At 38.0% G+C, this 16976-nt stretch overlaps 1 protein-coding gene across 3 annotated transcripts in view, besides 1 other annotated feature; it reads left to right on the top strand.

Moving 5' to 3' along the window:
* Positions 1-16976, top strand: part of TRPA1 (transient receptor potential cation channel subfamily A member 1) — a 68761-nt gene that overhangs the window by 13288 nt on the left and 38497 nt on the right. For 2 of the 3 annotated variants that reach the window (XM_011517625.3, XM_011517624.3), the window contains 7 exons: positions 1261-1424; positions 4856-5012; positions 7525-7700; positions 11165-11272; positions 13152-13260; positions 13779-13924; positions 14962-15098. In XM_011517625.3, coding sequence (XP_011515927.1) covers positions 1314-1424; positions 4856-5012; positions 7525-7700; positions 11165-11272; positions 13152-13260; positions 13779-13924; positions 14962-15098 — 944 coding nt within the window. In that variant the 5' untranslated portion in view covers positions 1261-1313. Of the gene's footprint in view, positions 1-1138; positions 1425-4855; positions 5013-7524; positions 7701-11164; positions 11273-13151; positions 13261-13778; positions 13925-14961; positions 15099-16976 lie in introns of those variants that run through there. The other variant, NM_007332.3, reaches the window with a different exon arrangement.
* Positions 763-1334: an enhancer, noted in NCBI's record as "H3K4me1 hESC enhancer chr8:72987624-72988195 (GRCh37/hg19 assembly coordinates)". NCBI's record gives its function as "activates a minimal SCP1, AML or CMV promoter by ChIP-STARR-seq in primed H9 embryonic stem cells {active_cell/tissue: H9 hESC(primed)}" and the evidence as "EXISTENCE:reporter gene assay evidence [ECO:0000049][PMID:30033119]".

The raw sequence follows: 16976 nt of genomic DNA, 5'->3' as shown, positions 1-16976 counted from the left end.
GGGGGACCTTTCATGGTTCCTCAATATCATCATGTCCACTCTGCCTAGCCCTAAGCTCAGCCCACCACAGCCCCTAGGTCAGAGAGTCCACAAACCGTTGCTGAGTGCACCTATGCCAGTTCCTGGATCCACGGGGGTCTTGAGTTAAGTGCTGGAGATGAGCAGGTGAATACGACAATCCAGGGCCTTCAGGAAGCACCGTCTGTCAAAGCAAAAGACTGTCAAAGCTACATTCTGTCCTGTGCAAGGTATAATCAGCCTTAGAAAGGTTTCTTGCGTTCTAGCCTTGTAAACCTGAACTTACGGCAACAGTTCCCTTGTCTGTACCAGACAGTTCCCTTGTCTGTACGTAAAAGTAGAACCAGCCTCTTCGATTGAGACACTTCGATTGACACTTAATGAAGAGCAGTCCTATAAATATAAGTCTCTCAAATGAAGCTGGGGGCAAACAAACTTGCACCAGTCAGCAGTGGCTTACGTTTAACCTCACCTTTTTATTAACCACCCTTAAACACCAAAGTGTGAGGGGGATCACTGTTATTATCCACAGGAAATGAGACCTGATATTCACAGGGACTTAATCTAGTCCCTCAAACCAGTGCTAGGATGTAGCTATTGTCCCAAACGTTTGGAATGAGAAGTTTTGTTAAAAACGTTATTTCCAAATCAAAGAGGCCGCCAGAAGAAGGTGCACGTGGTGGGAAACACAGGTCTGTAGGATTTTAGTTAGAAAAAACTCCTGAAAACTAAAAATCTTTCCAATATACCCAGTCATTCCCTCTTCCTCTCTCTTTACACCCCCCACCCTCCACCCAACACACACACACACACACACACACACACACACACACACACACACACACTCACATGCAAGGTTGGGGGGCAGGGCAAGGGGCCTCTTAGTTTATTATAACAAATTCTCTGCAATCCACCCCGACCTGACACGCTTGACTCCGTCAGTGCGCTGCTGCAGCTGCAGGACAGCGGGACGGGCGAGTCACTTTGTCCCTGAAGGGGCGAGTCCAAGGCAGACGCGGCGCCGCCGCCCTCTTTGCGAAGGAGCTCCGCGTTTCTACCTCCTCTCCGCGCCCCGCCTGCTTCCTGCACTACAAAAGTAGCGCGGGCCTGAGAACTCCTTCCAGAAGTTCTCCAGGGCTTCCGCAGAGCGACTTTTTCGCTGCCTGTGAGCTGCAGCGCGGGAGAGCTCGGGCTCGCGCGGACCCCAGCGCCTGGCAGGCTGACAGCGCTCTCTCGCCCCAGGTGCCCGCGCGCGTGGTGAGCAGCTGCACCAGGTGGCGTCCGGGGTGGGGTCAATGAAGCGCAGCCTGAGGAAGATGTGGCGCCCTGGAGAAAAGAAGGAGCCCCAGGGCGTTGTCTATGAGGATGTGCCGGACGACACGGAGGATTTCAAGGAATCGCTTAAGGTACTCTGGGGGCTCGCGGGTCTGGAGGGGTTCCGACGTGCGGGCGGGGGTCGGCTGGAGGTTTCCTTGGGGGCAGCCCTTGGTTTGGAGAAAGCGTGGGGGTTGCAAGCTTTGGGGTGTGTGCACAATCCAAGAGGTGACCCTACTAATGACGCGCCCACACAGCGCCTGCTTTATCTATTTTGTTTGCTTGTTTGTCCAACCGAATTCTTGCTCCTGGACGGGCAACTGCAGTCCAGGGAAACCTACTCAAAAAGTATCTGTATCATCTGGCACAAGATCGGGCAGCTGCCTAAAATCAGGACAATTTGGAATGTGTGCCGTTTCACTTGGACCTTTCCGTAGATTTTGTTTAGAACCAAATAGCCGAATGACTGTATCTGGTAGTCGTTGGATAACTATTTAAGAGTTCTGGGGGTTGAGAAGCCTTCTGGTCTAACAGAGTGAAACAGATAAACCAATTGTCTGCACTTAGAGCGTTGCAGAAAATGTCCCCAATAAAACGGAGGCAGGAGTGGCAAATTCCTTCTCCAGGGGTAGGAGCTTCAGGAAACGCTGTGGGGGAGGTGACCTTTTGAAGATGGGTGAGTGACCTGAGGCTCTAGGATGGGCACTTCTATTACTTATGCAGTTATCGGACCTAAAGGCAGCACTAGCTACTACCTGATGGCTTAGTCTAAGGGATAGAGGCTGTTGGGTGCTCAGAGCCCACCACTGGATTTCATCAGATTGTCAGCAGGAGAAAGGGGCTCTTTTAAAATGTTGAGACATCATTAAAAAGGTCTCTCCAAACCCTCATCACAAATCTCTTTCGACAGAGGGACCATGTTAACAGTTTCTTAAGAATTTTCCAGGTTAAAAAAAATGCTTACACAAAAACACACATGCTAATAGATCTTGTTTTATTTGCAAAGTTAAGAACTCACAGATTTCCACTCTGATTTACTCACAAAATGTATTTTTGAATACATTTCAAATTGGCACTTGTAGATTTACCTCACTCTTTTTACCAGCTTCATAATATTCCACTGTATGACTAGATCATGATTTATTTAACCAGTGTTGCACTGATGGACACTTAAGCTGTTTTGTGTTTGTTTTGTTTTGCTGTTACACATGTGACAGAGTATGTCTGTGAGTTTAGATGTAGCTTCTCTGTCTGTCTGTCCCTTGGTACCTTTATGGATATGTCTGTATGTCAAAGTCCTAGCAGGGTCAAGAGGTATGTACAGCTTTAATTTTGGTAGAAATTGACAAATTGCTCTCTAAGCAGGTTGCAGGAATTGGCACTATTGCCAATTGTGTGTGTGAGTCAGGCATGTATAGTTAATCACACACACCAAGTAGCCAGGCCTCCCAAGGTGAGTCTGTTGACATGTCCGGTTTGGCCACAGACATTTTTTGTCCTTCTTAATGTTAGCATGATAACTGTGGTCTTTTGGCTTACTCCAGAGAACTGAGTCATAAATAGATTTCAACCACTGGAATAGTATCTTTACAATTAATATGGTACAGGAAGAAATTTTAAATTTCTAAAATCACCCATGTGGTTTTATTTTCTAGCGATATTTGCCGAAGGATTTCTTAGCAGCGAGTCTCAAAATTATTTGTCTTCGTGTTTCTAATAGTCTTTATTTAGATTTATCATCTACGTAGAGCAACTTATGTTTTTTAAGCCTTTTAGAAGCTACATAGAGTTTGTAGATTGAAGGATTATATCTTTTATTTCATTAACTGTAGTAGTTCCATATCATTTTGTAAAAATCTCTTGTTGAACCCATGACAAAGAAACATATATAACACTATGAAGGGTTTTTTAACCTCTAGAGGGTTTTTGGTTGTTTCCTAATTTAAAAGAAAAGCTGTATAACATATTTTCTCCAGCACATACACAGTATCTCAGGAACACTAACAAAACTGAAGGATCACAGAAAACTTACAAGATGAGAAATGTGGAAAAAGAACCATTGGACTGATGCTTTTAGCCTTTTCCAATTATTTTCTTTCAAGATAGTGAATAGTTTAGCATTTGACTTTCTATTTTTTATCTCTCACCTTAGTTTCCAACCTTTTGGCCACATTGCTACTTATATGTATTTCATTAAAGCAACCTAAAACAGATGTATTTGATATATCTGTTTTAAAGGGTTTAGTTAGAATTAGCTTATCTAAAAGTGATCTAGTCTATTATGTTCTGAATCTAATCACATAGTTCAGATTCCAAAAGAATCTGAAGTGACCCTGTGACAACATGAAACTACATTAAATGAATATATATTTTGTCTAAATGACATCCTTGGCTTACTTTCAGAACTTTAAAAAATCTTTTCAAAGCCTGACAACGTCAGGTACTGATTGAGATGATCTAGTACGTCTGATATGCTCATGTAAAGTATTTAGATGCTGTTTTGTTATTGTGAATTCAATAGTGCCTTGTGAGCATCTGAACCTAGTACTCCCTCTAAAGAGTGTGGAACTGGGTTTGTGTTGACAGCACATCGCTGAACAGACATCCCAAACTGCTCTTTCCGGCACTAGGGAGTGGGCAGCATAATCCCTTTATTACGCAAAGAGCATATCAAATTCAAGTACCAAAATGCTTCCAAATAGATTTAGGCCAACACTTTCTTTGATAGGATGAGACATGGAAAAAGATCCTATTTCTGCAAGAAGCCCATTTTAAATTTATTACTGAATATGTGTAAATTTGGAAGTGGTTGGATGCTCATTGTCATATCCTGTAGTCACTAAAGTTATATGTAGCTTATATGGAATTTAATTTTTTTTAGTTAAAAAGTAACACATCTCAAGAGACTACCATAGAAGAGTGACTTGTTAGGTACTATTCTGTAATAACAAAAGCAAAAACTAAAGTTCAAAAGTTTAAGAAATTAAGTTTTATTATTCCAACCTGACATTTGCTGAATAAATCCTAATATTCTAAATCCTTTCTTAGTTATATTAAGGATACATTAAATACCTTAATACTTCATTTTCACTGATAGCTTTTCTTTTCAGTAGTGAGAAATGCTCTAGTTTTCTTCAAAATGACAAACTGGAGTTTGGACATATATTATCATGTGGCATATGAGACTAGTTATGGTCAATGGTAGAATTGAAGCAAGTATCTGAATCATTTGGGGAAGATTTCTGCATTTCCTTTACAATGAGGAAGAACGGCCTTTATTTCTAAGCATATATGAATGAGTTCATGATAAAAAAATTTATTTCATGTGTTGATCAATCTTGGGGCATTTTCTCAAACCTTCTTTGTGTCCGTAAACATTTTGTGTATTTCAAGAAAAATATTTACCTCATATAAGCATGATAGATAGTTTTGGATAATAATAAGTTCTTTCAGGCTATAAAATGATTATAGCCATAAGTTTTGCATATGCTTGTTTGGTATAATGGTGTTTAAATACCTCTAGGTGGTTTTTGAAGGAAGTGCATATGGATTACAAAACTTTAATAAGCAAAAGAAATTAAAAAGATGTGACGATATGGACACCTTCTTCTTGCATTATGCTGCAGCAGAAGGCCAAATTGAGCTAATGGAGAAGATCACCAGAGATTCCTCTTTGGAAGGTAACAAAATATTACAATTCATCTTCCAGAAATCATTCATCCCATTCAATTAACTAGAAAGAATGGAAGGAAGTGATTTTTAAGGGTAATTAGTGCTAATTATAAAGAGCCTATATATTTCACTTAGAATTGTGGGTTTTCCTACACACCAGCACTCCTCAACTTCTTCTACTGAAATACTGCAAAGCATATTACAGAGATCTAGGACACCCCACAACAAGCACAGACTTCATTTGAATTTTTAGGTAGATTGTAAGAATGCATGTACATTTTATGTATTCCTTTATACTATTTCCATTGAGGTTATTTTACATTTAAATTATCATCATTAAATAAAATTGACACCTCAAGAAGGTGTACCATACTCCCACAGTGATGTTTTCCAGATGCCAGCCTTGTACACTCTACCTTGTTTAGGAAATTCAACTGCAGACAATGAAGGAGGTGGATGCCACAGAGATGAAGGCAGTGAAGTGGTGTGATAAGACCTTTGCTATATAAGATAATTCTGTCAATATTGTGGAAGATGGATTAGAAGTGGAAGCCAAGCTAAAAAGCTATTTTGGTAGTAAAGAGAGGATAAGAGTTCACCAGGGTTGTGAGGCTACAAAAAGGAGACAGGGAGAGGTTCAAGAGATATTGGTGTATAAAGTCAATAGTGCTCGACAGCAAAATAAATGGGAAGAGAAAGGGCAGGGAGTTAGAACTGACTTTGAAATTCTTAAATTTAGGAGATTAGGCTAATAATTTAATCATCCCCCAAAAGGAAGAATATGAGAAAACAGAAAGGAAGTGAGTGCGAAGGTATGAGATTTGGTCACAGTGAGTTTCAAAGGCCCAGGGGACATCCAGTTGGAAATATCCAGCACACAACAGAAATGTAGAAGGAAAGGGCCTGCCCTACAGGAGCGTGATTGCACAGGAAGTCACTGAGACAGTGGAAATGTGTGAAAATCCCTTAGGGGATCACAAAATTGCTAGCAAAGGTAGCTAAGAGTAGAGTACCAACATCAAGAGACAGATGGCAGAGGAAAAGCCAGAAAAAGATGAAGATAGTGAAAATACACATGCCATGGGTGAAGTTACGGGGACAGAAGAGTTAGAAGGAGCCCTTGCCACAAAGAGATCAAGTAGGAAGGAGATCAAGATAAAGCCCCTACATTAGAAGGGTCCAGTGACCTCTATAAAAATAAAAATGATTTCTGAAAAGGGATGAGGATAAAAGCCAAATTCAAGTTATTTAATTAGTGAATGGGAGTTTGTAAGTATAGATCCCTGTTTAAGTTTTGCGCCAAATGGAATGATGAATGGAGTGATTCTTCTTGATCAGACAGAACGGTCAAGAGATGTGTGTGTGTGGGTGTGTACATGCATGTGTGTGTGTATTGTTTAGAATGAAACACTTAGATGAATGAAAGGAAATAGTGGAGAGACACATTTTAAAAAGGAGAGAAACAGAAAACATGGCTATATGGTTCCAAGTACCATGTACCGTAGATGGTCTCCAAATCATATTTATGAGCAAATACTTTTTCTCCTTTCCTGGACGTAAAGATATACTGCCACCAATTTACAAGGCTTATAAAGCAGACAGCCATGTCTATTTTAGAATAGCTATAGGACTTTGCAGGATGAAAAGACATATTACTTATATGCTGAGCTCACGGGGTACATAGTACCATATATGGTATTGCAGAAATATGTGGAAACCACTTGTGGCATCAGGGGCTTAAGCTCAAATTCTAGTCCTGTGGTTTATTAGTAGTGTGTCTTTTTTCTCGTTAACATTTTTTGAATCATTGCTACAGGCCAGGCACTCTGCTGTGATCTTTAAAGACATGACTTAGTATTATTGTCCCAGTAACATTGCAACATCACAAGGTCTCTCTCTCTCTCGTTCTCTTCTCTCTCTCTCTCTCCCTGTGTGTGTGTGTAGGTATATGAATATATGTTTTTTTTTTAATTTTTTTTTTACCAAGTTTGAATACAAGAAAGCTGAGGTTCAGAGAAGTATGGTAACTTTCATACTTCCTTACTAGCTCTGTGATGTTGGCAAGACTTTTAACCTCTCTGGACCTCAACATCTTCCTCCTTCTGAAAATTTGTCATGGTGTTACTTTGCAGGCTATTGGAGGCTTGAATGAAATAATGGTCATGTGAACTTAGCAGAGTGCCTGGGACATAGTTCTTGCTTTTATATAATCCCAATATTTTATTACAATCCCAAAACTCATATAGATAAAAACATATAGCAATAGGAGGATCTATTTCTTATTAATGCTACCTATAGAAATTTAACTCAATTCATAAAGTCACTCTCATGCTTCTATATATTCCCACTAGGTTCCCATTAAATGTTTCGTTAGAACTGAAGCTGTGTTTTTAGTTTCCATAAAAAGATGCAGCTGATTTCATTTGCACTTGGCACTGAGTTTTATAGTGTATAGGCACTCAGGAGGTGTTGAATACAGTCTAAGCAAAATTTAATCCATATTCTGGTTTCTTTTTCTAGTGCTGCATGAAATGGATGATTATGGAAATACCCCTCTGCATTGTGCTGTAGAAAAAAACCAAATTGAAAGCGTTAAGTTTCTTCTCAGCAGAGGAGCAAACCCAAATCTCCGAAACTTCAACATGATGGCTCCTCTCCACATAGCTGTGCAGGGCATGAATAATGAGGTGATGAAGGTAAGGCTACTGGCCGGCTCCAAAGGGCCTGACCGGCGGTGCAGGTGCTGGGACCCAGATCCAGCTCTCTCTGCTTGCACCAGGATGAGCACCTTCTAAGCTTCCATGGCAAACAAAATGCAATTATTACATTTGCTTTACTTCTCACTAACTAATGATGATGATGATGATTAGTTTTGACTTTATTGAATAGTTCTTATTTACCGGGCATTTTCATGAGAGCTTTGTGTGTGTTTGTTTATTGAATTCTCATCTAAGCAAACCCACTATGAAGTAATTCCACTAGTATTCTTATTTCATAGCTGAGTACACTGAGGTGCCAAAAGAATTTGAATAACTTGGCTAACATCACACCACAAGTAAAAATGCAAGACTAAGGAATTTTGTTTTCATCTTTATGTTTTCAGATTTAGGCTTTATCACTTTTACCTGACTGATTTAATGACTAAAAGGAGGAAGGTAATGAGAGACTCAGTGAAAACAGAAAACATAATTATGATTCTCTATTTTTGTTAGAATGGATGGCCTGTCAGACAGATTAGTTAGCAGAAGACATAAGGATACCACTGGGAAACATCCTATTGGTTTTCAAGGTGTAAGAGTAAGTTCGGTCAAATAGAGGAAACCCTGGAAAATTGCTAAAGGGTAAGAATTAGGCCATGGTTTTTAAACTACATCTCAGAGTCTCTCAAACACCCTAGAACACAAACATGCCTAAAGGATGAAGAATGCAATTTACAAATGGAGCATGTTCCAGAAGTTCATTTCTAAGGTAGGCTATTTGGAACTTATAATAAGTTTTCTGGTAGAAACAATATCCAAAGAGTTCCATGAGTTTCAGGCTCCCTTTAGCCCAGAAAACTTTCTCTCAGCCCTCTGAGGCTTTGGCTCCTTTAAGTCTGGCATAAAAGGTTTGAGAGGAGCCACTTTCTGCTTTCCTACTGTACCTTGTATGTGGCTCTATTAAAATCCTTAACACGTGATATTGGAATCAAATGTTCATGTGCTTTTCTTCCCTACTGGCTAATTATCCTTGAGGGAAGAGGTGTGTCTTACTAATTCAAGTATCTCTTATTCCTCAGCACTGTGCTGGTAAATGATGGCTGTTGAATGAATGAATGAATGAGTAAATGGGAGTTCTGGCTGACTGAGAAGGGGAGAGCTGAAGTCTCAGTACCTATGAGATGGGTCAGGGTGGCTCCCTGAAGAGGTTACTAGAAAGTCCTCTGGCAACAAGCTGTTATTTTTTTATTCATTATTCATGAGCCAAGTGCTATTTCTGTATCATCTGGGTTGGGCCACTAGTGACTACAGGGACTCCCGCAGAGATATCAAATATTTCCTCATGGAGCTCTGTGCTCCCTCTGAAGGCTCTTTTCAAGAACACATACCTATTAACTTAATATTGGCCGTGAAAGTGTGGTTTGGGAATTGAAGATAGGTAACTGTTGAAAGACTATTGTTAATTAGAAAGCAGAAATCTCCAGACCAACAAATACAGAAAGGTAGGTATCACATAGAAATGGAAAATAAAGCTCCCAACTGATTCATAAACTCAGTGATAGACATAAAACAAATTTTCCTGGTGACACCAGGACAAGCAGAAAAATAGAGTTCTAAGTAAAATTGACTCTCCTTTATTTGGTCTTACCAACCACAACTATGTGTAAAAATATTTTCAGACTCCTCTGGTTCACCAGAGATGACAGGAATAGAAGGAGGAGAAGGTTTTTTGGAATGTCTCCCCTCATGCTTGCAAACAGCAATCTTTTCTACGTGCCTCTCCCAGTTATGCCCATGGTCCGGCCTGTAAACACCCAGCCCCTGCCAGTTTAGAAGCTGCTCCATTGACTGCTCCACTGACCGTCCCTCAAACCTTCCTCTGCTGCCTATAATGGTTGTAAAGTAAAAAACTGTCATCCACGCATCACTTCAAGTTCTTGCACAATGATTTATGGTATGCATAATATTCCCTGGGACACATTGGCCTGGGGATCAGGGGGTGGTTTTGTTTCTCAGTAGCCTGCAGACCTTAGTCCTTGGGGCTTTAATTCAAACTATCCAGTTGTTTGACCCTTCCATGAGGCTTTCCAGATTCTCAACCAAGGGACCTGTGGAGGGCTCACCTCCAAACCTTCCAGACTTGCCTGGTCATGACTGAATTTGAAGTAGGTGCACAGTTTAGTTGCTCTCTCTGGGATCCCTGCCACATATAACTGAACACAGCTATACCTTTATGATCTATGATTCTAAGAGGGCAAAGAGAGAAAAGCCTCTTCTTGTAGACTTTGGTAGCTATTTTCCATGTGAAACTAGAGTTTCTTAAGAACAGAATGCGATGATGCCTAAAGTCCATGGAAGGAATCTTATGTTCTCATTTCCCTTAATCCGTCAATCATTTCTCCACCTATTCTTATGTACTAAAATCTGAGTTTAATTTTCCTTTATGAGCAGAGCTAATTAATAAACCTAATTCATTTGCTGACACTCACAAGGGATACGTTCTGTTAACAAGAGGCTCTGGTAGGAGGTTGCATACTTTTTTCAAAGAAGTCAAGATTTTTAAGAAACAGCTGATTTAATGAATTCTTTTAACATTATTTAATTATAAGGACATGTCATCATTTATCATAGTCTTTCTGCAGGAGGAAAAGCCTCCAGTAGGCCAATTCAAAGATTTGATGAGACATTTATATGAGATAATTTTGTTACATTGAATATAAAATAAAGACTAGTCAAAGACCTATAGATGCTTGGGCAGTAATCAGATGGCAGTCAACCAGGTGAGGAGGTAACAGATCTTCAATGAAATTCCATCAGAAAAATTGCTTGATCATTTTATCAGGATGCTAATTTCTTACATTGTAGAGAAAGTTTCCATTCCAGGCCAAGTTTGAATTAATTGGGTTACACCACACAAAACTCTGAAGAGAATAGAGTGTCCACTGACATGTCCCAAAATTCTTGCAATCCAGGTAAAAGAAAAATAACTGGAGGAGAAAAAAAATCCCTTCCTGCTTTTTCTCCCTCCCTCCTTCTTTCTCTCTCTTTTACTCTCTTCCTTCTTCCCTACCTCTCTTCCCCCTCCACCATGAGCACTTTCTAATGGCTCCACAAATTTATTTTCCTGAAAATATTAGTTAACATAACTTCACTTACTACAAGTCAGAAGTATTAAGTGAAGCTATGATAACTAGTATCTATAATTCTTATTTTATTTATAATTCCAGAACTCAGTATTGCCTTGATTGTTGTGATGTTGAAATCATGATTATTTCATCTAATGGGGAAATTAGTTAGTACCCACAATGTGCAAGATTTTGTGCCAGATTGTGTGAGAGAAGGATGAATAAAAGATAAACAGACATGGTCCCTGGTATTTGAAAACTTAAACTCTAGTGGAAGGCAAGTACCTTATTTGGAAATCTGCAAAAATTTTGACAATTATTCTCCCCTTTTTTTAGGTCTTGCTTGAGCATAGAACTATTGATGTTAATTTGGAAGGAGAAAATGGAAACACAGCTGTGATCATTGCGTGCACCACAAATAATAGCGAAGCATTGCAGATTTTGGTTTGTATATTTGTCATATCTGTCTGCTTTCTTTATCTTTTCATGAATACAACATGGATTATTATTATTTACAAAATCTCTTAAGTTTTTCTCCTTAGAAAAATATAAAATACAAAAACTAGGTCAGGAAAAAAGTTTTTCTATGTGTTTTTGTATATGTACTCCCTGCTTAAGAGGATCTGAGATTGCTTATAGAAGACTAATAGTAAAGCAGTAAAGAAAATTTCGAGAAAATCAAAGTGAAAAGAAAATACAGGCAGGAAAAGTTGAGATGAAGCTGGTGGTCAGGCTAGAATGCAAAATACAAAGTATAATGGCCTGGATGTTATAAAGATGGATCAAATGTATGATTCTGAGCTTCTGAATAGTCAAAGGAAAGATGAATATAGTCAGTTGCAGACTTATTTGGCCCATAAGAGAAAAGTCAAAGGAAACACAGCTCCCAAGACCTGAAGAAATTATTGTCATTGGGTCTCAAAAACAGAGCCCTGTATGATGTAATGACAAAGGTTCTTAGCCACATGCCTGAGAGTAGAGCCAGCCTTGTCTCTGGTGAGGCTTCCTGGCGTGGTCCAGTGAAGCGATGGAGATGATGGAGATGATGGAGATGATTGTCTACATGACTTCCTCAGTGCTCCATCTGAGTGTGCTGTTAGAATGCCGGCAAATAGACTTTTTTCAAATATTCGTTAGTTACTTGTATGTTATCTAGGCCAGCATCTGTATTTTTACCACTTGATTTTGCCTCTTCACCATCTCAGAGAATAAGAAAATGCAATTAAATAATTTAAAAATATTTACCTAATGTTTAAATGTGCCATACAAATATGTTTTAGCACCTTTACTAGATGGACTTAGAGATAGGTACATACTCTAAGCTGTCATGATTGGACCACAAAGAGAATAAATGATAAAGAGAATAAAAATAAGTTAACTAACACTCAAACCAAGAATTTAGGAAAAGAGCCTTAAATTAACCACAAGAAAATTGGAATAAAGAAAAGTATTGTTGAAAATACTACAGAAAACAATATATTTTTAAAGTCTGGTTTCCTTGCAAGTTTAATTTATGTGTATACTGTATGATAATATTGTTCAAAAAAGCTTTTACTTAACAATATTCTTTAATATATGATTTTACAGAGTACATCTTCAATTTCTGGACTCTCTACATATATATATATATTATATATATATAATTTCTGGACTATTATGTATAGAGTAAACTGATACTACCTCTAAAAGCTGAGATTACAGGTGGTATTGGCTTCTTCACACTTTTCTACTTTTTCACAATAATTTCTTGTAGTAATTAGAGGTACTTAAAACTGAAGGCTAATGATTTACAGAGAATGGTAGTTTAAAATGATTGGATCACATGAAAACATAATATAACATTCAGTTCTTCTAACATCTTTTTAGTTAGGAAACTTCATTAGTGAAAATATTTGATTATCATGGCTTAACAAGAGTAGTGGCACATTCATTTATTAATTTTGCATAAATAAAGGGAAAAGAATCTAGGATATATCACTTTATTTGCATAAGAAACTGAAAATAGTTATGGAAGTCATGATAATGTCTTCAAAAATCTCATTAATCCCATTGAAAAATGTGTTGACTTTATTGCTGTGGTATCAAGATAGATGTTGTGTCTACATTGTTACTTCTTTGGAAGATATAAAATATCTCTATTTCAGAATCTTAGTCTACTTCAAAATTACCTTCTTGCCTAGATTTCATAACATATGAAGCTCTCTATGTACTTTTACATAGACATATAATAGTAAAATGATATGGGAGAGGCACATAAATTCTCATCCACCCTTGCGATTTGGGGTTTAACTGGTGTCATTTTTCATTTTGTCTTTTCTTCCAGCTTAAAAAAGGAGCTAAGCCATGTAAATCAAATAAATGGGGATGTTTCCCTATTCACCAAGCTGCATTTTCAGGTTCCAAAGAATGCATGGAAATAATACTAAGGTTTGGTGAGTTGAGGCTTTTCTATGTTATATACTATAAATAAGTCTATTTTGGTGGATGCTATTAATTTGATTTTTTTTTTTCTTTTGAGATGGAGTCTCACTCTGTCACCCAGGCTGGAGTGCAGTGGTGTGATCTCAGCTCACTGCAACTTCAGCCTTCCAGGTTCAAGTGATTCTCCTGCCTCAGCCTCCTGAGTAACAGGACTATAGGTGCATGCCACCATGCCCATCTAATTTTTTGTATTTTTAGTAGGGATGGGGTTTCACCGTGTTGGCCAGGCTGGTCTCGATCTCCTGACCTCGTGATCCTCCCACCATGACCTCTCAAAGTGCTGGGATTACAGGTGTGAGCCACCACACCCGGCCTAATTTGAAAAATATTTAACAGAATTAAACACAAGCTTTTATGTGTCTCGGTGCCCTTTCATTGTTTTTTTACCTTTGTTCATATTTTTTAACAAAAAACCTCCCTATTATTTATTTTATATATTTGTTATGTTGAATGTTATTTTCTTCTCAAGGTGAAGAGCATGGGTACAGTAGACAGTTGCACATTAACTTTATGAATAATGGGAAAGCCACCCCTCTCCACCTGGCTGTGCAAAATGGTGACTTGGAAATGATCAAAATGTGCCTGGACAATGGTGCACAAATAGACCCAGTGGAGGTAACTCTTCATATTCTATATAACACTTTTATCTTAGAGTTGTCATAAACATATAAAATGCTTTATAGCTCTTTTACAGTTAATTTAGATTGAAATACATACAAGAAATACATATTTCCTTCTGCTTCTGCAGAAGCAGAACAAGAGAATATCCCAAGTTTCAATCTATGTAAAGAATTTTCAGAGCTCCCCAAAACAATTGCAGACACAAATATAGATACAACAAAGACTATATATCTAGTGCAGTTGCCATTAAAGAAGTTAAGGCCTACCCTCAGAAGATGATAATGTTCAGCCAGGAACATTAAAGCCCAATCATGAATGTATTTGGCTTTAGTCCTACTCAGAAGAGTTATCATTTTTAAATTAAGGACCACTTAACTAATTTCTAAGAATATGTATGTGAACGTGTTGACTGTGTTTGGGATCTGACCTTATGGCAGGCATCTCTGACCAAAAGTGGAGAGTTCTGGCCCTTTTTCCTTCAATGTCTGAGTTTTGGGTGGCAACAAGCTCCCCTCCAAGATACTGCAAAGGCCTGTATTTTCTGTAGGAAGAGAAGATTGGATATTAATCTCATGTGGCTTCTGGAAACTTCATAAAAACTCAGAAAAGCTAACACTGCCTTTTAACTTTTTCTATATTGTCCCTTCAATATGGAAATGAAGAGCTGCCAATGGTGGTATGGGGTCTGAAGTCACTTCCTACACTGAATGCTTACAGCAATGAATGGGACATTGTTCTCATGTTCCCTGGGGAAAAGAATGGCATCCAGACAGTAATGGTGGAAGTGTATGCCAAGAGTTGTTATATTAGAAGGAAGCACAATTGTCAGCTACAATTTGTTTGTGGATGCTTTTCTTTGCAGGTCCATAAAATCAAGGAATATCTATCACATTTCAGATGATTAATGGTGATCAGCCTGATAGATATTCCTTGATTTTATGAACCTGGGAAGAAAAAGCTCACAGCTGAATATAAGTTATATTCTTTCATTGAGATTTAAACATTGATTCTAGCATTAAAACCCTTTACAGAAGGGAAGGTGCACAGCCATTCATTTTGCTGCCACCCAGGGAGCCACTGAGATTGTTAAACTGATGATATCGTCCTATTCTGGTAGCGTGGATATTGTTAACACAACCGATGGATGTCATGAGACCATGCTTCACAGGCAAGTTTCCTACCTATCATTCTGTATACAGATTTTTCATCTTCATGAGTGAAATTAGACATTGCAAGGAGCAGTTAGCACTAATGCTAGCAAAGATTTTGTGGTTCAAAGGAAAAGGGCAAAGATAACAAAGACCCTGTGGATCAACCGGAATCGCGTATGTTCCTTGGGAATGGGAGTAGAATGTTAAAGAAATTTCACAAAATAAAATCACCTGTGGCATATTCTGATTCAAGTCCAGTGGATGTAGGCTCAAGATTAATTTTCTATGTGCTAAAGAAGTCTACATACACGGTCTTCCAAGCCATTTCTAATCTGTTCCAATTTCTCATATTTATTTTATCCCCATTTTTAGTGATAAAAATGGAGCAGATACATATGGATATGTCACCCCCACACTAATCCCTCCTGCTCACCAACAATTATAGATAAATGGTTTCAAAAGATATAGTTTTAGGAAATTATAACCAAGTTTCCAAAAACAATAACAAATTTATTTGAAGTTTAACAGAAACGCACATCAGGCAAAGTGTATTAAGCCATAGGCTTACTTGTAGACTGGAAATTCAATTCTTTTGGAAAGACAAGTATCAGATGCTACCCATGTGAGTGAAAGAGGTATCTGAGATGAGCCTTCACTCTCTTGGTCTCTTCCACACACACGTGCACACACACACAAGCACACACAGTCAGAGCTGCCAATATATTTTCAATAGGCAACTGGACCTGGAATTCTACAGTATCTCTTAGAAAAAAAAAAAAAAGAAACTATAGCTACCAATATAAGATCTGTTTCTAATAAATGCACGCAGCAAACCACCAGGCACAATAGGATATGTGTGAATGGAAAGGAACTCCCTCTTAGAATGAATTTGCAACCTAAAATTTAATAGCATAAAACTAGTAAAAAACTACGAAGTTGACCAAAGACAAATTTACTTCCAAGAAAATAGAAATAATAGGGCATTCCAAAAAGAATTTTAAAATAAAGATATTTGAGACCTTCAAAAATTTAAAGGAAGGAATAATCAGTTATATAAAACTAAATATATGAAGATAACGTAAGATTGTGAAAAACAGATTGTCGTATATGAATCCAGGATTGGTGATATGAAAATAATTCAGTAAAAAATAAGTTAAAAAAGCCATTGAAATAAAATGAAAACTCAATAGATAGACTAACCTCTAGACCAGAAATTCTCAAACTGTTGCACATTAGAATCACGTGGGTAGCTCACAAAATCCCAGTGCCAATTTATAACCTAGAAGATATGAAAATCTTTAAGATGAATCTCAGGAATTAAAGAAAAAAACTCTTTGATTCCAATGTTTCACCAATTTACAAACCCAATGATTTGGTTATTGTTAAATGTATCTTTAGAACACAGCCTTAATATATTAATATGCATAATGAGAAATTATCTTAGGAAAATGGGGCCTTAATGTTAGAATTTATTCCCTTATAATTACTAAATATAATTAATATATTTTAAATATAATGCAACCTCTTGTCAATCAAATTAACAAACTGATTCTGAAATTTATGTATAAAAGGCCAAAAATAGCTGAGAGAAGCTTGAAACAAAGAAATGAGATTTGCGATAGGAAACACAAAGCTTTAAGTCATTAGTATTAACATTTGTTATGGTGTTGCTTATGACTGCCTGTGAGATGATACCAAAATGTTTTCAGTTCTCTCCATAATTATTTTTGGCTTCATAAAAACTCAGAAAAGCTAACACTGCCTTTTAACTTTTGCCAAAGAGAAGCCCCCCAAAGAGGGGCTTTTGAACCTGCAAGTGAATTTGAGGGACACCTTACATGTAGCTGTTCTATTCCCCAGGATCATAGCAATACCAGTGATTTCCTTGTCTTTTC

The sequence above is a fragment of the Homo sapiens genome, chromosome 8 (genome assembly GCF_000001405.40).
Source record: "Homo sapiens chromosome 8, GRCh38.p14 Primary Assembly".
In the NCBI taxonomy this organism is placed as follows: domain Eukaryota; kingdom Metazoa; phylum Chordata; class Mammalia; order Primates; family Hominidae; genus Homo; species Homo sapiens.
This window is presented reverse-complemented; position numbering and strand designations above follow the sequence as displayed.